The 27,980-nt window shown below is 58.8% G+C and overlaps 1 protein-coding gene across 2 annotated transcripts in view, besides 2 other annotated features; it reads right to left on the bottom strand.

Annotated features, from left to right (window-relative positions):
* ZNF469 (zinc finger protein 469) overlaps window positions 1-27,980 on the bottom strand; it is a 339,823-nt gene that overhangs the window by 29,369 nt on the left and 282,474 nt on the right. The window lies entirely within an intron of this gene.
* Window positions 184-1,383: an enhancer, noted in NCBI's record as "BRD4-independent group 4 enhancer chr16:88476410-88477609 (GRCh37/hg19 assembly coordinates)". NCBI's record gives its function as "activates an origin of replication core promoter dependent on BRD2, P300/CBP, MED14 and CDK7 cofactors, and independent of BRD4, by STARR-seq in HCT116 cells {active_cell/tissue: HCT116}" and the evidence as "EXISTENCE:reporter gene assay evidence [ECO:0000049][PMID:35650434]".
* Window positions 12,997-13,799: an enhancer, noted in NCBI's record as "H3K4me1 hESC enhancer chr16:88463994-88464796 (GRCh37/hg19 assembly coordinates)". NCBI's record gives its function as "activates a minimal SCP1, AML or CMV promoter by ChIP-STARR-seq in naive H9 embryonic stem cells {active_cell/tissue: H9 hESC(naive)}" and the evidence as "EXISTENCE:reporter gene assay evidence [ECO:0000049][PMID:30033119]".

Here is a 27,980-nt window from a genome sequence, read left to right as displayed (position 1 = left end):
CACCCCTGCCCGCCACTCCCCCTGGACCACCCGCCGGGGCTGCGTTGGGCTCTGGAGGCCTCGGCCCAGATGCTGGCTCGCTGGGGTCTGAGCCACCCCCACGGAGCCACTCACCTGCGTCTCTGTGTCATTGTCTGTGTGGCACTTTCACCCTCTGAAGTTGTCATTGCTGAGGTTGGGTGGAGGGTGGGGAATTGTGAGGTGTGGGCTGAGGTGTGTCCCCCAAAAGCAAGTCCTAACCCCAGCACCTACGAATGTGACCTTACCTAGACATAGGGTCTTTGCAGATGCGATTAGCTAAGAGGAGTCGCCCTGGATTACAGGGGCTCTACATCCAAAGACAGGTGTCCTTCGGAGAGGGCCCCATGAAGAGAAGGGAGACGGACGCAGGAGGAGGCCACGTGAAGATGGAGGTAGAGGTGGAGTGAGGCGGCCACGAGCCAGGAATGCCTGGGACCTCCAGGGGCTGGAGGAGGAGGAGGTGGGAGGGACCTTCTCCAGGGGCCTGAGCAGGAGGTGGCCTTGCCCACACCTGTCGGGTCATCGCTTCACTGCAAACTTCACCATGACCTCCACCGTGAACTTTACCATGACCACGTGACCTGCACCATCAACAGCATCATAGACGTTACTGTGAACTGTGTGACCTGCACCATCAACGGCATCATAGACGTCACCGTGAACTGTGTGACCTGCACTGTGAACTTCTCCATGACCACGTGACTTGCACCATCAACAGCATCATAGACGTCACCGTGAACTGTGTGACCTGCACCGTGAACTTCTCCATGATCACGTGACCTGCACCATCAACAGCATCATAGACGTCACCGTGAACTGTGTGACCTGCACCGTGAACTTCTCCATGACCACGTGACCTGCACCATCAACGGCATCATAGACGTCACCGTGAACCGTGCATCATAGATGTCACTGTGTGACCTGCACCGTGAACTTCTCCATGACCACGTGACCTGCACCATCAACAGCATCATAGACGTCACCGTAAACTGTGTGACCTGCACCATCAACAGCATCATAGACGTTACTGTGAACCATGCACCATAGATGTCACTGTGTGACCTGCACTATCAACGGTATCATAGACGTCACCGTGAACTGTGTGACCTGCACCATCAACGGCATCATAGACGTCACCGTGAACTGTCTGACCTGCACCATCAATGGCATCATAGCCGTCACCGTGAACTGTGTGACCTGCACCGTGAACTTCTCCGTGAACAGTTGGGCTTCCCTGATCTGCTAAGTTACCTTCCTTCCCCCACCCCCACATCTGATCTATCAGTGGCTCTGCCTTCTAGAATCCAGCCTTTCCCAGTATCTGCTCTGAACCCCCTGACTCTCATCGTCCACTGGAACACTCGGCATCCCCTTCCTGGGCTCTGCTGCGCACCCTGCTTCACCATCTTCCAGCAGCCAGAGCTGGCCTGGAAGACCTGCACCAGGCCCGCCCCACCCAGAGCCCTGGAACGCCCCGCGCCCCCCCCCCCCCCCCCCGGCCAAGATGGCCACCACACCTGTCGCACTCAGGCCTCCGCTCACAGGCCACTGAGCGAGGACCTCTGATCACTCTGCCCAAGCTGCCTGGATGCCCTGCCCGCATGTGTGGGCCCCGGCCTGCTTTACCGAGCTTTGTTTGCATTTTCCTCACGCAGAGCTGCACACGTGTGAACACATGCATTTTTCGTCTCCATTCAAAAAGTGTCTGTGAGTGCACACGCTCATATAGCATATGTGCATGGGGTGCACACGGCCTATGAGGAGAAGGTCCTCCATCCTGAACACCCAGGACCCCTCCCCGGCTGGCCCCCTGCCCCTGGTGAGGGTCTCTTCCTCCCACACTCCCGGCTGCTGCCCTGAGCACGTGGGTGACCCGCCTGTGTCCTGGCTGCTGCCCCGAGGATGCAGGTGACTGGCCTGTGTCCTGGCTGCTGCCCTGAGGACTCGAGTGACCAGCCTCTGTCCTGGCTGCTGCCCTCCCGCTTTCACGTTTGTCTAGCCGTGCTCAGTCTCTGGTCATCCTCCAGTTCTCAAGTGTCTCCGAGGGAAGGATGGAGATCCCATCTCTACCTCCATTTCACAGATGGCTCCAAGAGACCTCGTCATCATCGCCTCTTTGCAGGTGGGGAAACTGAGTCACCGTGAGGTCAGGAACTGACCCTCCCTGAATGCTGACCTGAGCCCAGACACATCACATCACAGGTGGGCGAGCCCCCAACTCCAGGCCGCACTCCCGGGGTCTCTGGTCCCATGACCCTCCCTGCAGCAGAGGGGCCCCCAGAGAGAAGCTTCCTTGCAGGCCCAGCCCCAGCCCCAGCCCCATCTCCCCTGCAGCTAGGGAGGGCCCCCCTGCTGGGCTGACCTTCAGCCCACACAAGCCCCAGCTGCTGGCTTCAGAAGGTGGGGCTGGATAGGATACAGCAGAAAGCCCCTCCCTCCCCGCTTCCCTATGAGTGTTTTTCTTTCATCATTTGGAGAAAAAGTAGGGAAGAAATGAAGAAAGAGGGATATCTGCCAGGGGCTGGAAAAGGCACTGGGGCCATGTTTTCCTTCAATGGTGCATTGGGTGCCGGGCACAGGCGGCCCCTCTCTCGGGCCAGCTGGGGTCTGCAGGGACGGGGGCCAGGCGGGAGGGTCAGGGCTGGCCTGGGAAGCCCATGTGGCCCCGGCAGTAAGCCTGGAAGGGAGAGACGATTCCGGAAGGAAAGCGGGGAGACACCAATTCAGCCCTGAGCAGTCAGTGCTGGCAGGTCGTTGGCAGTCTGGGAGGGCATTCCTGAGCCTCGTGCTGACCCCGCTTCTGGTGAGGGTTCTACGGTGACAGCCCCTCCCTCTCATTCCTCAATCTTTTTCTCCTTCCAACTTTGTTTCTTGAAAACTTGCCCTCCCTTTGTTCCAGAAAGTACTAAGTGGGCTGGGCACGGTGGCTCACGCCTGAAATCCCAGCACTTTGGGAGGCCAAGGTGGGCGGATCACCTGAGGTCAGGAGTTCAAGACCAGCCTGGCCAACATGGCGAAACCCCGTCTCTACTAAAAATACAAAAATTAGCCGGGCGTGGTGGTGGGTGCCTGTAGTCCCCGTTACCGGGAGGCTGAGGCAGGAGAATTGCTCGAACCTGGGAGGCAGAGGTTGTAGTGAGCTGAGATCACGCCATTGCACTCCAGCCTGGGCAACAGAGTGAGACTCCTTTGCAAAAAAACACACACAAAAAACAAAAAAAAGTACTAAGGGGGCTTAGGGAAAATGAGGCCTATACGACAAGAGGTTGAGACACAAACCACAAACCAAAAAGCTTACAGGAAGTCTAAGCTCTGAGCTTCCTGGCCAGCAAGGCAAAAAGGGAACAACACACAGTAAGCTTGTCTCTTCCATGACCTGGGCAAGGGGAGTGAGTGCCCGTGTGTCAGATGCATGCACTCACGTGATGCAGCAGGCACACACGTGCAGGCATGGCCGGGTGTGTGCATGTGGTTTCTATGTCCTACCTGTGATACTGTCTTAATTTGCACAAACCTGTACTCAGAGACAGAGTGGGCACCAGCAGGGCTCCACAGGAGATGCCCATGCCCCCAACTCACAGAAGGCAGCGTCTGAGCACTGGCAGGGCCTGTGGTGTCACCACCCTGGGAGTAATTTAAACCTGGGCCCACAGGTGGGACTTGGGGGCTAGGAACCATCTAGAAATGCATGCCAGGCCTGGAACCCAGGCTCTGCCACATGCCAGCCATCTGGGCAAATGACTCTCCTATGCCCATGCCTCAGTTTCCCCTGCACAAAACGGGGACAAGGACACAGCCACACAGGGTTGAAATGAAGATGAACTCAGACGTCGGATGCACACGGCCTCGTTCGGTGTCCGACACCTGGTGATTTCTCACTAAAAATGATCAGGCAGGGTACTCAATTAGTGCGTCATCGGCCACGCTATAGATACAGAGAGTGACGCTGATGAGGGTCCGCCCCATCCCTGTCCAGGCTTGCTCCTTCCTTCGCGTAACACTGAGAAGAGGGTACCGTGAGCCCTGCCATGATGCCGGCTCCCAGCTCAGAGCTGCACGCAGGTGCTGGCGACGGTTCCGGACGGATCCCTGGAAGTGTGGACGCAGCTGAGACAATTCCCAGTGACGCAGGAGCTCCCACCCTGGGGGGCCCAGCCCAACCTCACCCCTTTGGGAGCTCTGAGCCGCAGCCGCCCACTCAGGGACAGCTGGCCACAGAGCGCCGGGCACACACCTCAGTCCTGGGGCCGCAGAGGGTGGAGAAAGAGCAAAGGCCCAGGTGCGGCGGTCACAGCAATCAGGGCAGGCTTCTCAGATAAGCACTGTCCCCAGTATCACAGGCGCGATCTCCTGGTCTCTTAAAACATGTTTATGCTGATTTTTAAGGCAGAAAGATTGTAGGAAATGAAAGAAAATGTCCACTGAGGGGGACCCACGAGGCACTGAGTGACCTGAGGGGTGCTGAACAGCCGCTAGGGGGAATCAGGAGACCTGGGGGCCGACGGGGGAAGCTGTGGCGCCAACCCTGTGTCATCCCCAACCAAGAAAGCAAAACACTAACAGTACTCGAGGCACAACCCCATCTTTGTAAAAAAGGCAAAGAAAAGCCACCTCTATGCCCAGGCGCACACACACAGAGAGGACTCTGTAGCCCTCGGAGGCAGGGGCCGCAGACATGCACACAGGGAGAGGACTCTGCGGCCCTCGGAGGCAGGGGCTGCAGGCGCGTGGGGTCAGCTGCCCCTCTCCTCTCCCTGTTGAACCCTCTGCGTCTAAGTCCCTCACCCTGGGCAGGGACAGCTTTTGTAATGAGAAGAACCAAAGCACGGGTCCTTCCGATAACCTGGAGATCCTCTGCTGAGCTGCAGGCGGCAGGCGCAGGCTACCTGGACCCTGGCCATGGGCAGCCCGCACGGCAGGGAGGAGGACAGGAAGGCCACAGCGGGCAGCGGGGGCTTCCCAGCGTGGGGGGCACTGCAGGGCACTTGGATAGGCAGGTAAACTGAGGCACACATACACAGGGCCATCCTGAGACACATTCCACACACACAGCTGCCCTGGAACACACACATGTGTACACGGATGAACACACACGTGCACACATACACGGCCACCCTGAGACACACCCACGTTTCTGCCCTCCCACCCCATTTCCCGTACTCAGCTCTGGGCCCCACGGAAGGGCGGTTTCCTGGGCAGTCCCACCTTTGGCGAGGCCGGGCAGGTCGTCGGGCCTGGCTGGACACGGTGGCTCGTGGTGGCGTGGTCGGCTCCGGGCTGCTCCCTCCCAGGCCCTGTGGAAAGTTGTCCCTGGCTCCCGCCACCTTCCAGCTTTCCCATCTCAGCTGGTTTTAATTAATTTCCTTCAAAGTCCCCAAAAGCAATTCAGCCACGTTAGCGCTCACCAGCTGCCAAGACGCTCTGATGTGTGTGTGTGTGTGTTTTGGGGGCGGGGGTCGGGAGGACGCAGGAACCGTCTTGTGTTGCTAACTGCAGAGGCTTTTCCGCTTCTGAGGCCAAGAGCTGCAGGGCTGGAGGCGTTTCTGGCCTGGGCCGTGGGGCGGGCTGGGCAGGGCTTGGCAGGGCGGGCTATGACCGGGACAGACGCTGTGGCCCCACCGAGGCGGCTTGGAGTGCCGGGAGCCTGCACACCCACGTGCACTTCCTGGGGGTACTCTGAGCACCCACAGGGTCCGTGGGGCCCAGCTGCACCCTCTGCTCTGCTCTCATGGGTGTTTGGTGAAATCTCATTGGTGTTCACTTCCCTGGGGACCTGTGTCCACTCACTCCCCAGCCCTTCCCACTGGAGTCCTCTCCAGCCCCCAAGGCCCTGATGCAAATGCCTCAGTTGCTGGGGGAGGACGCCAGGGAGGCAGGTGGGCCACAGGGCACGCTGGGGAAACTCATGGCCCATCCCAAGGGGTGGCAGCAGTCGGCCCCACCTGACTGTTGCCGGGAGGCACCACGGGCCCATGTGGCCACTCCCCTCTGGTTTCCAACAGAAGCTTGGATATTCTCGTGCACTTCTAATATTTTAAAAACAGTGGTGGCCAAACCACAGCGGTAGCCCAGGGGCTACCCGTGTGCCAGCCTCGTCCTGTATGAGGCCACACCCCAAGGCTCAGGGCTCAGATGCTCTTGCTCTGCTCTCCTCATCCTCCTTTCTAGCCCTGGCCCATCCTGTGGCTGCAAATGTCCCCTCTGTGTGGACATCTGTTCCTTGCCTGTCCACCACCAATCTCCCATTGTTGGCAACAGCACCTCAAGCATGCTGTGTGGAGCTACCCTCCCCTGCCCTGTGTTCATGTGGTTCCGGGAGGGCTGACCCCCTCCCCGCCCTGTTAGACTGGATCCTCATGCTGATGTTTGAATACCTGGATCCAGCTATGCCTGAAGTCCCCCTGCACAGCCTGGTTATGTGAGCCAATAGAGTCTCCTTTCTGCTAAGTCTGTTTGGAGTTGCGTTCTGTCCTCCTGAAGCTGAAAAGTGTCCTGACCAACATGACCCCAGGTGGGGATTCACGGGTGACCCAGTTGGGTGCCGATTTTGTCCTGGGTCTGCTGTGCGTCTGCACTGGCTGTCCTGAGGGCCTGACTCAGCCCTGTGGTCCCTAGCTACCTTTCTCCTCATAATGCCACTCACACTCACCCCTCTGGGTGGTCGGTGCCTCCTTCCTGCAGCATCCCTCTGTGCCTGCCCCCACCAGCACATGCACTCATTTGCATAGCAGCACGTCCGTGGGCAATCACCCTGCACTAGAGCCTTCCACCTTTCCAAGGCCTCCCAGTTCTTCCCCTGCCACCCAGGCACAGACGACATCCCCACTGTGGCTCAGCCATGACAGCTGCCCCTTCCTCTCCCCACCACGAAGGCCTAACAGAACATGGCCAAAGGGATATGTGGGTGGACAACCTCGAACCAACTCCAGTTTGAATCACACAGGTGAGCAACTCACTCGTGCTGGTGAATCACTAACAGCACACGCACCGCCGGCGCCGCCCAGGGCCAGTCTGCCGGGCCTCTCAAGGCCTGGCTGTGGCTCTTGCTGAAGTCCTTACAGGCGAAATGACCTGGTATCTAGAATCCGCTTGTAAAAGCACAGCAAGAATAAGCATGGGGGCAGAGACAGATGAAGCCAGGCTGCCCAGGGGCCAGCACCCATTGCAGCCAGGTGCCGGGGGTGTGGGGCTGTGACATGTCTCTCGCTGCTCTTGTATATGTTTAAAAAGGTCCACAATAAAAGCATAAACACAAGGGTCCCGCAAAACAACAATCACTGTTTTTCTAAAGGATCCCAGAATTGCAGGGGAGCTGACCAGTCGGGGGGCTTTGGGCCCCCTGGCGGCACAGAGGCTGTGTTTGCACTGTCAGTGTGAGGGCGGAGAGGCCTCTGGGGGGCCCTGCAGCACCGCCCGAAGCCACAGAGCTGAGCTGGTGGGAAGGGCGCTGCCCCTCCTTGCCCACCAGGAACCCCTGAATTTGCTTTTGAACCAGGCTGAGGAGTGTCCTGGGACTGAGGGGAGGGGGCACCTGAGCTGAGTGGGGGCGGGAGGCATCCAGACAGGCCCAGGGCTTGGCCTCTAGGGAGGATGGAGGATGCTTTGTGGGCACCAGGCTACTTCTGAGAGTAAAACAATTCAAGTTATAAGTTTGTAACAATTGCAGAATGGAAAGGGTCAATGATCAAGACAGAAACAAATGGTACAAACTGTGGGGGCCGAGGGCAGGAGGCCCTGCTCCCTGTCCCAGCAGCTGCTCTGCCACCCTCGCCCACCCCTGGTCCCACCCTCCCTGGCCTCTGCAGACGGTGGCCTCGATGGCAGCTCACAGGCCCGGCTGCAGACCCCGAGACCTGGAGCCCTCTGCCCTGTGTTTCAGCAGCTGCTCCCGAGATGGCGGTGTGAGCTCTGTGGTGCCTGGGAGAGCAGTGACCTGCCCAATCCCACCACTGTCCAAACAAGATCCTGTGTTTGCCCCCTTCAGCAAGTGCGAGACGGAACCCAGAGCCACCAAACCCACGCAGAGGATTTTAACATAACCATTAATAACACTATGTTACAAAAAATGAGAAGTCCAGGGTAAATGCTCACCCAGAGCAGGTGTGAGACAGCAGGGACTGTTCTGGGCAACCAGGATGCATGGCCACCCTGCGGAACACAGCCCTGGCAACGGACGGACAGAAGCATCCAGCACGGCCACTGGCCCCGAGCTCCCAACCGCACTCGGCCTCCACCCAAGGTTCTCTCCTGGACTCCCCGATCCCTCCCACACCTCTCCTTCTTAAGTTTCTGGGCCCCATAAAGTTAAAAGTGCCTGGATGCACCATGTCTCCCACGCGTCCACACTCTGGTATGCACGGCGGGTGTTGCCATTTGCTGCTTCATCTTCCCGGGCCGGGCTGGCCTTTTGATGGGGTGTTCCTGTTCCCGGCGTGGGGGTTCTCAGCTGAAAGAGTCAGCAGAGCCCAGGGAAAGCCTGGCTGGTGGAGTGACCCTGGGCCAACCGCTGCCCCAGCCTGGCCTGTCTCGGTTTCCGCACTGGTAAGATGAAGTGCATAAGGGAGTTCAGTGGGAGATGAACCCAGCTCATCAGAGGCCCTGGAACCGGAGGAATAATGTCCAGAGGCAGGCGGGGGCCGGGCCCCATTCTGTGCCCCCAGATCCTGGCAGGGCTGGCCTGGCATGAGAGAGGGCCCTGAGAAAGCAGGTGACGGTGGAGGCCCTGACCGTGGGGGCAGACCCAGGTCAACTGCAAAGGGGTCTGAGCTGCAACCAGCATCCTGGGAAAGTCTCTACTCACAGAGGGAAACTGAGGCCCCTGCAGGGACACACTGTCCCTCTCCACAGGGGCCTTCAAACACAACTTGGCCCAGGTAGCATCCTCTCCCCAAGCTGGTGCCCCCAGACTGTCTCCTCACCATCCTCCCTCCCACTGCACTCCCATGACTTCATGGTCCAGCCATGGTGCTACCCACAGCACTCAGCATCCTTAGCATAACTGGGGCCCAGTTCTTGATCCACCTGTTCACCTGGGTGAATCTGCTTCCTGCACTAGATGGGACACTCCTGAAGGAGAGGGTAGAGTAGGACAGGGTCACCACTGTGCTTCTGGTGCCTGGAAGACTGCAGTCACCATCCAGCATCTGCCACCCACTCATTCCCCCTTCCATCCATCCATTCGCCCACCCATCCATCCACCATCTCTCCATCCATCTACCCATGCATTCACCCATCCATCTACCCATCCACCCATGTATCCATCCATCCACCCACCCATCCATCTACCATCTATCCATCCATCCATCCATCCATGCACTCACCCATCCATCTACCCATCCACCCACATATCTATCCATCCACCCATCCATCTTCCCATCCACCCACGTATCTATCCATCCACCCATCCATCTTCCCATCCACCCACGTATCTATCCATCCATCCATCCATCCATCCCTCCATCCATCCACTCACCCACTCACCCATCTATCCATCTACCTATTCCTCCACCCTTGTATCCATCCATCCACCATCCATCCACCCAAGCATCCATCTACCATCCATCCATCCACTATCCATCCACCCATGCATCCATCCATCTACCCATCCATCCATCCAATCACCCATCCATCCACCCATCCACCCATCCATCTACCCATATATCCATCCATCCATCCATCCATCCATGCACTCACCCATCCATCTACCCATCCACCCATGTATCCATCCATCCATCCATCCATCCATCCACTCACCCAACTATCCATCCATCTACCTATTCATCCACCCATGTATCCATCCATCCACCCATGCATCCATCCATCCACCCATGCATCCATCCATCCATCCACTCACCCATCCACCCACCCCAGCATCCATCCATCCATCCATCCATCTGCCCACCCACCTATCCATCCATTCTTCCCTCTATCCATCTGTCCATCATCAGGACTAGAATCTGGGTCTTGGGCCTGCAAGTACTCTATTCTAGCCCTCGGCTTACTGCAGGGCTGAAGGTGCTGTGGCGTCCTGGAGTAAGCCACTGCCGTACTGTCCCCCACTGCCCAGCCTCAACCAGAGAGGCCCTGACATTGTTAGGCTGGACAGCACGGTGCCCGTGGCACTGTCTTCTACTGCTCTGCATACCCCAATGCTGGGAGAAGAGATAAGTTGCCCCTCTCTTGCATTTACTCTTGGTTGTCTCTGGGTCCCATGGGAGAGAGAAACTGTACCCAGTCTTCTGGGGTCTGAACGCACTTTTCTGCTTGAGACTACTGAGTGTCCAAGGGCCTTATGAGCCAGGGTCAGGGAGGGGCTGGGGTGGAGGGAGCCAGGCTTGGTGGGGGACAATGGCCTCTTCTTTTTCCTGCAGTGGATGCCCTTCCATCCCCCTCCGGTCTGCAGAAGCAACCCCTGGCCTGTTGTTCAGCGGGTTGTTTCTGGGCCCCTCCATCTCCTGCCCCCGCCACCCCCTGGCCCTCTGCTTGGTCCCTAGTGGTGGTAACCACTGTCTTGGGGTTACTGAAGATGCTCCCAGGTGACCCCGTGAACACGATCTGAAGAGATTCTGCCCATTTTATCCAGAGGTGAGGTGACCTGCCCAGAGATAGACTGTTTGCGGACCCACAGGCTGACCTTGGGTGCCATCCCAGCTTGCCCTCAGCCTCTGGAATGGGGCCTTGCACTGCCGACCACCCGCTGACCCATGACTGTGGGGACAGAGCTGGCTCTGGGTCCAGCTGTTGCTGCTGCTCTGTTTTCACAGCTGAGAGGAGGGACTGATGTGGAGCAGTTGGGTCCCTGGCCCCAGGAAGGCCTTTGGGCTCGCCTGGCTTAGAGGTTCCGGAAAGCAGGGACGAGCAAACTGCTTCCAAGACCCACAGCAGCTCTGGGACTGTGCTCCTTCCTGGTCTGGCCAGCTCCTGGGAGCAGCAGCAGGAGCTCTGACAGGTGTGAGCCGGCAGGGCCTCAGTCTCCCCATCTGGAAAATGGAGCCGTTGTCCTGGTAGGCCAATTTTGCAGCAGGGCTTCAAGCTGCCAGGCCTGGGCACATTTTGCTGGGCTTTCAGCAGGTGGGGCCACAGGACACTGAGGCTCCAAGGAGGGCAGAAAGGGTCCCGTGTGAGCTAGGGCAGAACCGGAGCTCGAACTCGGGCCTGCTGATCCAGATGCCAGCCTCCTTGCTGGGTGCCCGTCCTCACCTGCCATGAAGGCCATTGGCTCTGCGCCTCCCCAGTGATGGCATGATGGCATTTGCTGCTGATGAACGGCTGGCCCGGACACTGCCTCCCTTCACCCCACGTCCCTGCCACACTTCAGCCGGCCCTCACTCACCCTATGAGGCAGGCATGATGGTGGCTTCCATTTTCCCAATGAGGAGTCCAGGCCCAGGGAGGTGGAGTGACCCGCGTGGGATCCCAGAGCTCCTGGTGTCTGCCTCTCTAGGGATCTGCTTCTCCTGAGGTGGCCCCAGCCCTGGGTAGAGCCCTGCGGAGGAGCACCTGGCAGAGGGGCTGCCGTCCTGGCTGCTGTCCCAGGCTCCACGCCTCCTGTGCACTCCTGCGAGATTGGGCGTTGGGTGAGAAGGAAGGACTGGGAGCTCCATCCACAGCAGAGAGGGGTGCACAGCTGGTTCAGGCTGCAGGAGTGAGGCTGGGGGCAGCTCACATATGTGGGCCTCAGCTCATACCTGGCCACAGCAAGCGTGTTCTGCTATTGAAAATGTTTGGTTTTAGGTGATTTTGAGCAGCTGGGAGGCACCACAGATACTCATTTCTGGCTCTTGTGACAAGGTTGTCCCTGCTCCAGCCTGGCCCTCCCATGAAGGTGGCTCTGTCTGCCCCTGCCACCCACAGCCGGGCTTCTCACGCAGCCCCCTCCTGCCTGGCCCACGGGCATCTGCTTGTGTAACCTGTGGGCCCACAGGCCCAGTTTAAATTCCAACACTGTCATCTTGTAGCTGTGACTCTGGGCAAGTAATTGAATGTGGTCCCAGTCTCTGCATTGTGTCCCATCCAGACATGGAGTGTATCCTTGTCCCCAGAACCTGGCTGGCCCCGGACTTGCTTTGATCATTGGGATGCGGCAGATGTCATATGAGTCTGGAGACTTCGCCATCACATGAGGGAGCAGAGGGGAGGGAGGGGCCCAGGCCCAGCCTCAGATGACTGCCAGGCAAACACACAGAGCCTCTTGGGCCCAGTGGGCTGCCTGCCAAACTGCCAGCCACATGCAGCCCCTGGGTGGCCAGGTGAGACCTGCCGAAGCGCCAACATCATACTCTCGGAACAGGGGAGACCATTGCCGTGTGAACCTCAGCAGTGGGGCTGCTTGTTACGTGGCAGCTGACAGTGGTTAACGTCTCTATGCTGTGTTTTCTTATCTGTTAAATGAGGTTAAAAATAGATCCTGGGGGGGTGGTGGTTTGCTGTGGGGATGAAATGAGGCAGTGCAGGTCAGAGTGAGTGCAGACGAGTGACTGTCGTCCTCTGCTTTGTCTCTGACCCATGAAAGCAACACTTTCCTCAGATCTGCCCTGACCTTTGGTCACGGATCCCAGCCCGGATGCCCTGGGCTGCTGCAAAGGAGCCAAGTCCAAGTCCATCCTGCTGGCCCATGTGTCCCTTCCTCTGGGACTCACGTGTTCCCTTCATTTGTGGCTCACATGCCCTTTCCACCTGTGGCTCACGTGTCCCCTCATCTGTGGCTCACACCCCCCCTTCATCTGTGGCTCATATGTCCCTTCATCCATGGCTCACATGCCCCCTTCATCTGTGGCACATGTCCCTTTGTCTGTGGCTCGCGCATTCTCTTCATCTGTGGCTCACACACCCCTCATCTGTGGCTCACATGTCCTCTTGTCCATGGCTCACATGCCCCCCTTCATCCGTGGCTCACGGGTCCCCCTTTAACCATGTCTCACATGTCCCTTCATCCGTGGCCCACATGTCCCTTCATCTGTGGCTCACATGTCCCTTCATCCGTGGCTCACGGGTCCTCCTTCATCCGTGGCTCACGTGTCCCTTCACCCGTGGCTCACGTGGCCCTTCATCTGTGACTCACGTCGCCCTTCATCTGTGGTTCACGTTTCCCTTTGTCCGTGGCTTGTGGTGTCTTGCGTGTGTGGCCTGAACACAGGACCAGTAGTGAGGAGGGTGGTGGAGGGAGCACAGCCCCACCTGCCACTCTAAAGAGCTGCACGTTGCAACCAGGACTTCTGACACCACAGCAGGGAGCAGGGATCAGAGGCCCATCAGGCTGTAGAGAGGTCACCTCCTCCAGCACTTTCTGGGGCTTTGTTTTGCTTTCTCTGACCTGGCCCTGTCCAGAGGCTAATGGAGGCCTGGCCCTGCCGGGCTGAAGAGGACCTGCACCATCTCCTGTGCCCGGCTCTGGGCAGGGCAGAACCTCTGACCCTGGACCTGAGAGCCAGGCCCCTGACACCAGAGGCTTGATGACACGCCATGAAGCAAAAGCTGAGTTCCTCTCTTGACCTCGACTGTCACTCCCAGGCACAGTCTCCAAAGTGTCTGGGATGCAGGGAGTCAGAGGCCATCCAGGGAGGGGATTTCCAACATTCTCCACATTGACACCTTCGTTCGAATGACCATAAGAAGAGATCTTACAGAGGAGAATCTCTCTCTCTCTCTTTCCTCGCGTATATATCTATGTGTCTCTATCACATCTATCTATCTATCTATCTATCTATCTCTTATTTATATCCATCCATCCATCCATCCATCCACCCATCCATCCATCCATCACACATATATACACATACTACATACATATATGCCTTATAAATATTCAGCTTTGGATTTACATGGTGGGGCAAAGACTGCTAACATTGAGATACACGACCTTGCCCTTTAACCCCCTGAGATCCTGAAATTTGCCAGCTCCATCGATCTCCTTTAGCCAGCCTTCCTCAGCAGTCTTCTTAGCTGGGATGAGGGCAGGCAGACCTGCATGGCAGGAGGGAGATGATGAAGGAAAGGCACTCCCAGGCCACAAGCCCCGAGTGGGACTGACCCTGTCCCAGGTCCCAGGGTGAGTGCATGGCCCAGTCTCACAAGCCAGGGCACCACATCCATCCCAGGGCCATGGTGATCGCTTGAGGGTGGGCACCGGGTCCGCCAATGAGAGGCTTCCCTGGGTCCTTTGCTGGAACTCATAGGAAGAGGTGCTTTTGCTGTGCTGGTCAGACAGAGGCCTCAGCCCTGGGGGCCACTTAGCCTCCCTGCAGGAGCGTCTTTGCCTGGCCTCCCTGCAGCAGGGTCTCTGCCTGGCCTCCCTTCAGAAGGGTCTCCTCCCGGCCTGTCTTCATGAGGGTCTCCTCCCGGCCTCCCTTCAGGAGGGTCTCCTCCCGGCCTCCCTTCAGGAGGGTCTCCTCCTGGCCTCCCTTCATGAGGGTCTCCTCCTGGCCTCCCTTCAGACGGGTCTCCTCCCGGCCTCCCTTCATGAGGGTCTCCACCCGGCCTCCCTTCAGGAGGGTGTCCTCCCGGCCTCCCTTCAGGAGGGTCTCCTCCAGGCTTCCCTTCAGACAGGTCTCTGCCTGGCCTCCCTTCTCAAGGGTCTCCTCCCGGCCTCCCTTCACGAGGGTCTCCTCCTGGCCTCCCTTTATGAGGGTCTCCTCCCGGCCTCCCTTCAGGAGGGTTTCCATCTGGCCTCCCTTCAGACGGGTCTCCTCCCGGCCTCCCTTCAGGAGGGTCTCCGCCCGGCCTCCCTTCAGGAGGGTCTCCTCCCGGCCTCCCTTCAGATGGGTCTCCGCCCGGCCTCCCTTCAGGAGGGTCTCCATCTGGCCTCCCTTCAGGAGGGTCTCCTCCCGGCCTCCCTTCAGACGGGTCTCCGCCTGGCCTCCCTTCATGAGGGTCTCCTCCCGGCCTCCCTTCAGGAGGGTCTCCGCCCGGCCTCCCTTCATAAGGGTCTCCTCCCAGCCTCCCTTCAGGAGGGTCTCCTCCTGGCCTCCCTTCAGATGGGTCTCTGCCTGGCCTCCCTTCAAGAGGGTCTCCTCCAGGCCTCCCTGCAGGAGGGTCTCTTGAGTTTGGAGCTGATGTGCAGAAAAGCAGAGCCAGGAGATGAAGACAGGCAGATACCTGCCGGCCCTGTCTGAGAACCTGGATTTAGCTTTGCCTTAAGTCCATCATTCCATGGACCTTTCAGTATCACAAGCCAAGAAATTCTCTATTGTGTTCTATGAGTTGTGTTTCTGTCACTCGCACTCAACAGACCCAAAGTACAAGCACCTGAAAAACGCAGCTTGACCGTCACACTGAGAGTGGGATTACGGGGAGAAGGGACGTGGAGTGGATACACGACAGATGGTCCCGTGTCCGCCCTCAGACCTAAACTCTGCTGCCTGTAGGAAGCCTGAGCACATGGCTGGGAGGGCGTCACCTGCAGTGGGGATGACTCCAGAGTTCACCTGGGGTGGCCCAGGGTCAGGACCCTCGGGACAGGTGCAGAAGACGGGCATGGGGCCTGTCTAAACACAGCATGGCCTTTGATCCATCCAGGAAAGACGTGCGGCCTGATGCCTGTCAACATCCTGGGCCATGTGCACCCCGCATGGTGGCAGCTCTTACTGGCTGTGGAATGGCCCAGCATAGAGTGAAGATCAGACTCTAGAGCTTCTGCCTTCAGGTTTTAATCCCTTCTCCTTGCTGGTCACACAGCCCTGAGTGAGGCATTTAGCCTCTGAGCCTCCGGTGGGAATTATAACATTATAATGTTATCTACCCACAGGGCTTCCATGAGGATCCCTGACACCAACGAACCTGGGCAGGTCACAGCATGGTGCCTAGTATGTCATACTCAAGAGTGGCACACCCAAACCAAGAACATATCAGTTATATAATTTATATTTGTACATATATACAATTATATATTATTTATACAATACGTGTAACATACAATGTTACATAAGTATACACACAATATCTGTATATATGTGTGTATCTTTCTATCTACCTACCTACCCATCCAGCCATCCAGCCATCCACCCATCCATCCATCCATCCACCCACCTACCCAACCCATCAATCCATCCACCCACCCACCCAACCCATCAATCCATCCACCCATCCATCCATCCATCCATCCATCCATCCATCCATCCATCCATCCATCTACCCATCCACCCATCCATCCACCCATCCATCCACATACCCACCTACCTACAGAGCTCCCTGGCTGGCTGTCCATGGCCATAAGAGAAAGTTCCTCCTGGCTTCAACTTTCTGAAGTTCTGCCTACAGAGTTCACCTCAAAGTAGAAGGGTCCCTGGGGCTGATTCACTCCTTGCGGCGGGGGGCACGTGAGCCAACCTGAGGCTGTACTGGCCAAGACATGGCAGCAAAGCCCAGATCCCAGAGTGGAGAGGCTGATGGGGGCAACGCTGTTGTTGGGGCCAAGGCACAGTAAAGTTGTCCTGGACAGCAGGGAGGGATCGGGGTGAGTACAGGTTGGTAAAGAGGATTGGGTGCCTGCCCAGTGGTGGGCCCAGGTATCTCGGGGACCATGAGAGAAGGACCACATGAAAGCCATGGTGACAGGGCTCCGACGTGTCCAGGGGTCTCCACATGCTGTTGTCACGCTCTGAGAGGCCCTGAGCCCCCTGTTCCCTCAGGCACTGCACCTTTCACTCTCTGAACACCTGGATGTCTCCTGGCCTTCAGGGCCAAAAAAATGACAAGGTACCTCCAGCATTCGACAAGCTCACCAGGCGGCAGAGGAGATGCCAGGCCTGGCCTGGGGAGGGGCCGGGAGTGTCAGCCCCACCTCACACCCCACAGGCCTGTCCTTCAAGGTGCCTGGCCACGGGCACCTCTTGTGCTCATGATACGACCGGGAAGCACCTTCAAAGACTGAGTCCAACAGAACGTGAAATGCTTCACGGATAATTTTTTAAAATCCAGACCACATGTTAACGTGAAACTATTGCGGTTATGCCGGGCTAAATGAAATGTATCATTAAAGTTCATTTCACCTCTTTTCTCATCTGAAGCCACTGAGCACCTGAAACTTGAGTGTGGCTCAAACTCCACCCCTCTCGGACAGCACAGGTGTAGACGTGTCAAACCCTGCTCCTCTCAGGCAGCGCAGGTGTAGACGTGTCAAACCCTGCTCCTCTTGGACAGCACAGGTGTACATGTGTCAAACTCCGCTCCTCCCAGGCAGCGCAGGTGTAGACCTGTCAAACCCCATCCCTCTCGGACAGCGCAGGTGTAGGCGTGTCAAACCCCGCTCCTCTCAGACAGCGCAGGTGTAGTCGTGTCAAACCCTGCTCCTCTCAGGCAGCGCAGGTGTAGACGTGTCAAACCCTGCTCCTCTTGGACAGCACAGGTGTAGACGTGTCAAACCCCGCTCCTCTCGGATAGCACAGGTGTAGACGTGTCAAACCCCCCTCCTGTCGGACAGCAGAGGTGTAGCATGAGCCCCTCCTTCCTGAGGCCCCAGCATGGCTCGCCCTTTGGGGTCCCCGATGACGTCTCCTGGACACATGCCCTCAAAGCTGCTGGCCGGAGACCGGTGGGGCAGCGTCCGCCCCACTTGTGGTTGGAACCATGATGGCCGTCGCACACCGGCCCTGGCCTCTGCCTTTCAGACCAATTGCCAGCCTTGCTGGTTGTCACCTGTGTCCTGAAGGCAGGACTTGTGATACCAGGGAACAGGTGGGAAAACTGAGGCTGAGGGTGTGAAATACCTTAACAAAACCCACAGCTCCAGGGCTGACCCCCACCCGAACCCCTCCTCCTGCCCGGGCAGCTCGGCACTGGGGCGAACCCACTCCCGCTCTTTCCTCGATGGGCTCCTGGGCTCTGCCCACCCTGGGCCACAGGACACAGCAGGGCTTTGGGTCCCAGGCACCTCCCGCCTACGGCAGGCCCCCCTGGGTGCCCTCTGGAGACTCTAATTATTCCCCAGGCACCGGTCCGGCATAAACACAGCCCAGACATCCAAGCAAAGCAGGCTGCTGGTGTGGACAGCCTTTCCCAGAGCTAAATGCGGCTCCCAGCTCCAGGCAGGCCCTGAGCGCTCAGCTAACAATCGGATGCCGCGGGCCCTGGGCTGACCCTGCTGTGGGCATGCTCCCACTCACCGGGAGTGACCGCTTGGCCGGGCACGGAGGGCCGCTGGCGGCTTTTCTTCCGCTGGGAGGGCACTCCAGGGCGGGCGAGGCAGGAATGCACACGGGCTGGTCCGCGTTTAGAATGTATTTATAGACCGGCCACAGCTGCCAGCCGCGTGGTGCCCACGAGGTCAGCTTCCTGCCAGGCCCTGCGGCCAGATGTTTACTGAGATTGCAGAGACCAACCCACCCACACACGCCTGGATTTATCCCACATCCACGCTCTGAGGCCTCTCTGTGCCAGGACCTGGCGGACTCCGGGACTCAAAGAGCTGGGTGACAGTCACGACCCTCAGCAGGTGTCAGTGCTTCAGGGACTTGGGACTCAGGACCAGCAGGCAAACCACAGATCTACAAGGAGCAAGGGAGGTTGGGGAGGGAACCTGCCGGGGAAGGGAGACCTTCTCAGAGGAAAGGCAGGGCGATGTTGGAGGTGGGTTTTGAAGGATGAATAGGAGTCTTCCAAGAATTCCAGGTGGAGATGAATAGCAAGAGCAAAATGGTCTGGTGGTGAGCAAGGAAGTGGGGTGTCTGGGGACAGCAGCTGCCATCCAGGTGCCTGAAACATAGCATCTAGGGACAAAGAGATGAGGCTTTACAAGGGTCTGAAAGCTCAACATAAAAATCACCAGAGCAGCCTCAGATGCAGACCCCAGACCCTGCCCCACTGATTTCCACTCAGCTGGGAATGTGTGGCTTAACCAGCCCCCGAGGGGGTCTGATCCAGGCCCACCGACCCTATTTTAAGGAACGAACTCTCAGAGACGAAAGAGGTCCGTGATGGACACAAAAGTCGGGTGTGGCTTCCCGGAGAAAACAGAGAAGGCTGTCAGGCGTGAGAAGGCTGGGCTGGGGAGGAGGCACCTACGCTAGGCGTTTGGCATCAGGATTGCAAGGCACAAGGGCACTCAGAGACCCTGGGTGCAGGGCTGAGCTGCTCGTGCAGCAGCTGCGGGCATACGTGGCCACGGAGCGTTTGCACATCGCTGGCCAGAATCAAGACACGGTACAAGCGCAGAGCGCACGCGACTTCCTGAGGGCGCAGCAAGGAGAATGTGAACTCACTGACGTTTGTATCAATCACATGGTGGAATGAGAATACTTTGCAGATACAATACAATTAACTTCATCTGTTTCTTTACATATTTTTAAATGTGGCTCCAAAATCACTTGGGTAGCTTGAGTTTGTAGCCTGCATAAGATATTGTATGATGTTATGTGATATAATGTATCTGCATCATAATAGGATACCGTATCATGTTATGTGTTATATGACAGGTTGTCATACATCATATCTTTAGATTACATTATACTTTATTACATTATGTTGTATATCATATTATACTAAATTTTTCTAGCTATTTCTATTGGTGAGCTCTGACCCACAGACTGCAAACCCAGCCTGCCTGCACAGGGTTCAAAATGCTCATAAAAATTTCCAGCCAAGAGATGTTACAGAAAAGTTCAGTCAGGCTTCTCTTGAAAGCCGATGAGATGTGGCCGCCATAAGCCTGTCCCCTCGCATCTCCTGAAGATGTGTCGGGTGCTTGCCGTGGGCCACAGACCGCACTGCTCCCCGCCGCCTCCTGTCCCCCGGCCCCACCTGTCCCAAGAGCCTTCCCACCTACACAGGTCAGAGGCTCCCGATCCCGAGGCATTGGGCCTGTGCCTGTGGGGACCACTCAGCCCTCCACTTGATGAAGAGGACACCAAAGCCAGAGAGGGACACCCTTGCCTTGGGTGGCAGAGACAGCCAACCCTTACAGTCTGTCCAAAACGATGGCCCTGAATTCGCTGTTCCCCAGGGCTTTGCCCAGGATCAGACTTGAGCCTGTGGATGCTGGGACCTGGGGAACGCAGCCAGCCAAGCACAGTCACATGGAGCAACTGTCCTGGCTCTGTCCCTTCTGCCAAGCAAGAGGTGGCAGCTTTGAATCCCAGCCCTGTGTGCTGCCCGGCTCTTTCCTTTCTCCACGGGGTGCTGGCACCCAGACCCTGCACATGGTGCCCTGTGCTGCCTCAGCACCATTGAGGTGCTCTCCACATCTTATCACTCCACTGAACAGGTGGGGAAACTGAGGCTGCGGGGGACTTGGCCACAGTCTCCCGGGCAGCAGCTGGCACAGTGGGATTCTATATCACACCTCCCAAATGCAATTGCATGACATGGGCGGACGGCAGCCGGAGCTGGTCCCATCGCCAGGACAGCAGCCTGATTTGGAGAGAATGACGCGGGCCATTCACCCGGGCCTGTGGTGTGGGCAGCTGCCTGGGTCGGGTCTTTCGGAACTGCTGACCATGAGCTGCCAGAGGTTTCAGTTCTGCCAAGAGGAATGTGTCTCTGCGCCTTTGCCTATGCTGCTTCCTTTGCTGGGGATGTCCTCTCCCATCTGGCATGCTTGGAGAACCTGGGGATTCCCTCTCCCATCTGGCATGCTTGGAGAACTCCCAGTCACCGTTCAAAACCCACCCAGCTCAGAGACGCCTTCCCCCAGGGAGCCACTATAGGATCCTCACACACTGGCCTGTCTCCCTAGTCTACCTGCTGGCTTCTACCCTCTGGAGGGGCTGCTTGGGGCAGTGCCCGGCGGCATCCGAATGTTAGCACTGTGGCCGTCCCTGCTTCCTGTTTTCTCCAGCTGAGAGTAGCTGACAGTGCAGGAAAAGTCAGCTTGCCTAGGAAGGGGAAACTGAGGCCCCCTGGAGGTTGTGTCCAAGTGAGACTTGGGTCAGGAGGAGCAGTGGGGGTTCCCAGGCAGAGCGGCCGCCTCCTGTTTGGCTGGAGAAGACACACAGTGCTCATGGACCCCACGTGGGGTTACGCAGTCTGGCCTGCCTCCCCCAACCCCTCTGACTGCTCCCCACTGGGTAGGCTCTGGACAGGTGCCCTGACCTCGGTGGGGTTGGAGCCATGGGGCCCCTGCCAGTTGGTGGGTGCCCCTACTCCCATGTGTATCCAGAACTGGGGAAGGTGCCACAGGACAGATCCCAGGACCCGCTGGGCCCACTGTGAGACAGGCCTGAGCTGAACCCCGTGACCACCTGACCTCCGTGAGCCCCTCTGCCTGGAGAGCACAGGGATGTCCTGGGTTTCCCGGAGTCAGTGTCAGTTCGGAGCCAGTGTCTAGTGGCCCCCGAAAGTCTGATTATTTCTTTCTCCTCGACACACAGCCACCCCGGAAAAAAGCTGTGGGTCCCTTGGGAGGAGGCTGTGCAAGGACGAACAGCGTCATCTCTGGCAGCGTAGCGGGGCCCTCCGCAGGCCGACCCCACCTCACTCGCGGCTTCACCAGGCTCCCTTGAGGAAGCACCTGGCCCTGCATGTGGAGAGTGGAGAGTGGACAGGTAAGTGTTCAGGAGGCGAGGGCTGTGCTGTCCTCAGGGGGCCAGGGAGGCACAGCGGGGGAGCCTCCTGGGGGACTGCGCTGTCGTTCAAAGACACAGCCTTGAGGTCCCCATGGCCACTCACTCCCTTGCCTTGACTTCCCTACTCAGGGAATCCTGAGCCCCATTCCCAGTTTGAATCCTGGCCCCATTCCCAGTCGTGTGGTCCTGAGCCAACGCCTCACCCTCCCCTGGCCTGGTTGCCTCATCCACAGAGTCGGGGTAAGAGGTTCCCACCACTGACACACTGGTGGGAGCGGAACGGTGGGAAAGAGTGGGGCAGCTCCTTGAAGGCCAGGGTGGCCACGGGACGAAGCACTTCCATCCCCAGGAAGCTGCCCAGGAGAGATGACAGTGGGTGCCCACACAGAAGCGGTACACAAAAGCTCACGGCAGCTGGACTCACAACAGCCAGACAGGGGAGGCAAGCCAGGCGTCCAACGGAGGAGGGGTGCGTGCACAAAATGTGCTCCGTCCACGGGGCAGAACAGCGCTCAGCCGCAAAGACGAAGGAAGCGCCGACTCCCGCCACGGCACAGATGGACCCTAAAGATGTGACGCTGAGTGACAGAGCCAGTCACAAACGAGCGGGATGTAGGAACCACGTACTCGAAGTGTCCAGAATGCACAAATCCACAGGCAGGAAGGAGCGGCTGCCGAGGGCTGGGAGAGGGGAATAGGGAGTGACTTCTTCATGGGCACAGGGTTTTTTTTGGGGTGATAAAAACGTTCTAGAACTAGATGGTGGTGATGTTTGTACAACCTTGTGAATATCCTGAAAGCCACTGAAGCGCACACTGTAGGAGAGCGGTTATGTGACTCGAGAGCTTTATCGCTGTCTCTGTAGAAAAGGTTCCTACAGCGAAGGGCTGGTGTAAGGCACAGAGGATGGCCCTGGCACCTGGCTCCCCGGCTTCTACAGATGGGGCAGCTTCCTCCAGTATGGAGACTGGCCCTGGCACCCAGCTCCCCAGCTTCTACAGATGGGGCAGCTTCCTCCAGTATGGAGACTGGCCCTGGCACCAGGCTCTCCGGCTTCTACAGATGGGGCAGCTTCCTCCAGTATGGAGATTGGCCCTGGCACCAGGCTCTCCGGCTTCTACAGATGGGGCAGCTTCCTCCAGTATGGAGACTGGCCCTGGCATCAGGCTCTCCGGCTTCTACAGATGGGGCAGCCTCCTCCAGTATGGAGACCCGGGTATCCTGGCTCCCACGCCCCCTCTGGCTGGGATCTTAGCAAGTCACATTCCTGCCCCTGCCCGGAATGCAGAGAAGCTCCATTCTGTAGCCTCCCAGTGGGCAGTGCCCGGCTGGCCACATCCAGGCCTGGAGACGCAGGCTCTGTTTACACACAGCCACCTTGGCCCAGCAGCCCCGGAGGAATGCGGAAAACCCCGCTCAGGGACGCTCCCAACGGTCACATTCTGCAGGCGGCTGCCGTGCCCGGCCGGTAGGAAAGCCTCAATGGCTGCTCATGAATGTGGACTCTGTTTGGCCGCTGGCTGGGATGCTGGCCCTGCGAACAGCCCAGAGACAGGACAGGCGCTGTTAGCAGTTAGCCAGGGGACGGAATGTCCCCCATCCTGCCTCTGGCTCTGGCCCACCGGCCAGGAGGGGTTGAGGGTGGGGAGTGTTAGGAGCAGCCCTGGGCACAGCTCCCTCGGCCGGGGCTGCTGAGTTCACACTCACTGCTCACTCATCCCTCCACTCACCTGCCTATCCACACCCTCGCGCCTGCTCGGCCGCTCTCCTCTCTGGGGAGCCCCTCTGCAGCCACTCTGGGGTTGTAAAGAGACTCCAGGTGCTGTGCACCCCACTTGGTAACGCAAACCGAGGCTGGGAGCCGTGGCTGCCCTGTCCTGGCGGTGTGGCTGGGAGGGCTGGGTGAAGCTTGGCCCCAGAGCTCTGAGGACCCCAAGCCTGTGTTCTTTCCACTTGAGGGGCCACCCACCCTGATTGGAGGAGCAAGGGCTGGGGAGATGGGCCCTTTGCTCCTGGTTCCTCCACGGCGGGGGGCAGAGCTCCTCTTGCTTCAAGAGCTGGGTGTTAGGGGGACGGGGTGGCAGGAGCCCCAGGTCCACCATACTAGGGTGGGCCAGGTGAGCACCCAGCGTTCCCCACACACGCTGAGCCTTCTCAGCCTGGCCTGCGGGCTCTCCTCGCTGGGTCAAAAACAGCTTATATTTGGAATTCTCCTCCCCAAGGCCAGCTCCCTTTCAGCAACAGTGTGATTCTCAGAGACCACTTCACTCCTGGCAGGGCTGGGGTGAGTACTGAGCAGGAAGTCTACCGTTTGACGCCGGGTCACAGCCCCCAAGCCGCCCCCAGCGTTGTCGCTGGTCTCACTTTCTGGTCCTCCGGACTCGGGACCAGCAACCGCAAGCAGCCAAGGGGGTGGGGCATGCTTTGAAGAACATCTGGAGGCTGTGCTGACCGCGGCCCGAGTCCCCCGGCACCCGGGGGTGGGTCCTGCCCGCCGCTCCCACCCCGCCCTGAAGCCAGCCTGGTGAACCCAGACCAAGGGGGGAGAACCGGGAGTGACGTGGACTCACAGGAATGAGGGGGCTGGACGGCCGATAGCACCTGAGGAGGGCCAAGGCCGCAACCCTCCGGCCACTGAGGGCAGCTTCCGCAGGCACGCAGGATGGGGTTGCAATGGAAGGTCCTCAGGGGTGCGGACGGCGTCCGCACCTGACCCAGGGCTGCCGCGGGTCTCTGGGTGTCTAGCACAAGGCGCTCCCCTGGGTGGACACAGTCTTGGAGGTTGGGGAGGCCCGACAAGCAGAGTATAGACTGGGTGCCGACGTGCAGTGAACAACCTGCCCAACTGTACTGGCCCATCTTTCCTTCTACCCAGGGAAATGGAAGTCCTTAGCTCTGAAGTATACGATTGCAGCCAGTCCCTGAGGACAGCATCTGCCACCCCCACCATGACCACTGGCAAATGATGAGCACGGGGAGGGAGTGGCCAAAGAAACAGGCCCTGAGCCACCTCAAGGCTACTTCACAGAGCCCCATCCTCACGGAACCACCCACTGCCTTCCACCACGCTCTGTCCAGCCCCCAGCATGTAGCAGGTCAGCTCCATCAGAGAACGAGGCTGGCTCATGGGGTTCAGTTGAGAGGCCTGGGACCTTAAAGCCACTTGGAGACAGGCTTGACCTGGAAGCGGCTGGTCTCTCGAGGTAGGTGGATGGAGCTGTGTCTGGAAAGGAATCACTAGAGGGCCCTGGATGTGACGGGACCCTCCGAGTCACCGGCCAGCGCCTGCTGAGCCCGGGGAGAAGGGATCCGGCCTGAATAGGGCCCCTTCGTCAAGGGGGATGGCCTTGCAGGGTAGATGGGACACCAGTGATGGGAGGTGGGATGCAGGATGCGTGAGGGCAGCAGGGAGAGGAGGGGTGTTCCCACGAGGGTGGGGGTGATGTCTAGGGGAGAAGGGCAGGCAGTCGCCGGTGGAGATGGGGCGGGACGGTGGGGTCCCGGGCAGGAGGCGGGAAGAGAGAACACACATCCTGAGATGAACCCATGAGGACCCTTATCAGGGAGTCAGAACAGGGCTGGACTGTGGCCTGGAATGCAGGACCCGAGCATGGCCACCGCCCACAGTGAGCAGGAGGACGGGCTGGTCACACTCTCCCAGGTCTCCTCCCCACCCTGCAGGTCTAGAATGAACCAAAGCAAGGGTGGGCTGGCTGGCCAGGAGGGAAAATGGGGAAGGCGCTGGGAAGATGGGGAGGGCGCTGGGAAGAAGATGGGGAAGGCAGAGTCCACGGGACCGGGCCGCTTGTGCCTCACCGGCATCCCTGCTCCCTATGGCGGCCTCCATCTGGGCTTTTAGCTGGCACCTTGCACCACTCAGGTCTTTCTTGTCCTCAGAACCCTCTCCACAGGTCCCACGGAGTCTCCTGAAACCCATGGGCTGCAACCACAGCAGCTGGTACCTACCAAGTACTTGCAGTGTGCCAGGCCTGTGCCAGGGTGCTCCACACACCAGCCCGTCCCACTGACCCCTGTGAGGGCTCCCCATTTTTCTGATGAGAAATAAAGTCCCAGAGGGGTTTGGTCACTCACCCAAGGCCACACAGCCCCTAGCAGCTGTTCCCAGAGCCTGGACTCTTAACTACTACACAGGCATTCCCCACATCATCAGCCCTATGTTTGGACAAGGAGGCAGGCAGGGTAACAGAATTTTTTTTTTTTTTTTTTGAGACAGAGTCTCACTCTATCACGCAGGCTGGAATGCGGTGGCACGATCATCATTAACTGCAGCCTTGAACTCCTGGGTTTAAGCAATCCTTTCTCCTCAGCCTCCCTAGTAGCTGAGAGTACAGGTGCACACTACCATGCCTGGCTAACTTACTTCAATTTTTTTTTTAGTAGAGATGGGGTCTCACTATGTTGCCCAGGCTGGCCTCAAACTCCTGGGCTCAAGTGATCCACCTGTCTCAGCCTCCCAAATTGCAGGGATTACACAGCCACCATCCCCGGCTGGTAACTGAATTATTAGTAGGAGTCAGAACCGGAAGGGAGGGTAGGGGGCTTGTCTTGAAACCATCTGGGCTCCAGATGAGTCCACCATGGCCTGATATCTAGGGCACTATCGGTGGTGACAAGACTCCAGGAGAAAGGAGGGGAGGGCATCTCTGCTTCCAGGCCACCCTGGTGTTCAGGTTTACTTCCGTTCAGCAAACACGAGGAAAGGGCAGAAACCCACTGAATTTCTCCCAGGGGAAGGTGGCAGGATGGGGCCTGACCAGGAATGTCAAGTCAGAAATGACCTGAAGAGATTAGGCATACAGGGGGAGACCATCCCTATTAAAATTATCCAAAGGCAGCCATGTGTAACAGCTGAGCAGATGTGCTGCCTGCTGCCTCAGGATGATGGACCAGTGCATTCCAGCTGGTAGGACTGCAGGAATGGCTGGAACAGGCTGCTGTGATGGGGAGTGAGTTCCCGGTCACTGGAGGTATCCAAGCAGAGTCAGTAACCTGGAGGCAGGGTCTGGTGGAGACTGAAGCGCTGATGAGGGGGTTGAAGTTCATGACCCCAAAATTTCCCTTGACCCTGAAATCCTGGGACTTCCTGGTTTGCACACTGCCCAGAGCTGCCAGCCTCGGGGCATTACAGCCACACACCCTTCACCTGTGCCTCCCAAGCTGAGACTCTGCGGGGCCCCTGGGTTCCCTTTGAGAAGGCCCTGGCCTTCCTTTTTGCCTCAGATATCCTCTTCCTCTTTTCTATTTGCAGGGCAGAATGATCACCTCCCGGTGAGCTCTGTCCTGTGGTCTGGGACCTGCCAGGCGCATGGCATGGAAGACACGTCTCCCAGGCCACCTCCTCCGAGGGTGCCTGGCTGCCCTTCCTAAAACTGCAGCTCCGCCCCAGCTTCCGAGCTCCCTGCTCAGCCCTCACGCCCGACGCTGTCCAGGCATTTACCTGTTTATTTTGTTTATTTTCAGGAATGCAGGGCTGTGGGCTGTGCTGGGGGCACCTAGGACAGGCTGGGCACTGAGAGGGCCTCAAGACACCTTTGTCCACCCGACCGGCAGAAGGGAACTAGACTTGCTCTTGGCAGAATGGGCAGGGGCTGTCCACGACACTACCGCGTGCTGTGCTCACTTCCCAGCATCAGCCCACTCTGACCATCAGTTTCTGCATCTAAGACTTGGGTTAACACGGATCTCAGGACGTAAGGATTAAACGTGATAACACGTGGCACACTCCCTATGCCCAGCATGGCTCACGGCTGGGGATGAAGCAGTTAACCGCCTCCGCTGCAGGAGCGGACTTGGCAGCTGAGCTGCCCCCCCGCCCCCGCCGGGGACCTGTCCCTCTGCCCTCGGCCCAGGGTGCAGGGACAAGGACTGGGTGGCCGCGGGAGTCCCCCGAGCCCCATTGGCCTTCCCTTCCGGCCGCCGCCACGCGGGGCGCCGCGTCCCCACGGGTCTAGACGTCCAGCCAACTTCCCGGCTCTGCAAAAGCCTCTGGGGGTGCGCGGGGCTGGGCGGGGGTGCGGCGTGGTCTCCCCCAGGGTGGGCTCCAAAGCTCCCACCCCCGTCCGGGGCGCTGACACCGCCGACTCGCAAGCCTATGCCGCGCTCGGAGCGCCGCGGGGCCAGCACGCCCGGGCGGGCGGCCCGGAGGAGGCGGCGGCACGGCTGGGGCACCCCCGGCTCCGATCCGCGATGAATGGGGCGGCCCGGGCCCCGCTCCCCGCAGCCCCGCCCGGAGGTCCCGCTCCCCGAGCCCCTCGCTCCGCGGCCCTCGCCAGTACGTTGCCCGGGCGCTTCCCAAACTGCCCACGGAGCCGGACCCCGCGCTGCCAACGCTCCGCTCCGGGCAAGGCTGCGGCCCCCGCCGGGCCCCGGCGCTCGCTGCCCCGCACGTCCGGGCCCGGGAGGAGGAGGTCGGGGGAGCCGGGCCGGGCGCCGCGAGCGCTGGGA

This window comes from Homo sapiens, chromosome 16 (genome assembly GCF_000001405.40).
Source record: "Homo sapiens chromosome 16, GRCh38.p14 Primary Assembly".
In the NCBI taxonomy this organism is placed as follows: Eukaryota; Metazoa; Chordata; class Mammalia; order Primates; family Hominidae; genus Homo; species Homo sapiens.
This window is presented reverse-complemented; position numbering and strand designations above follow the sequence as displayed.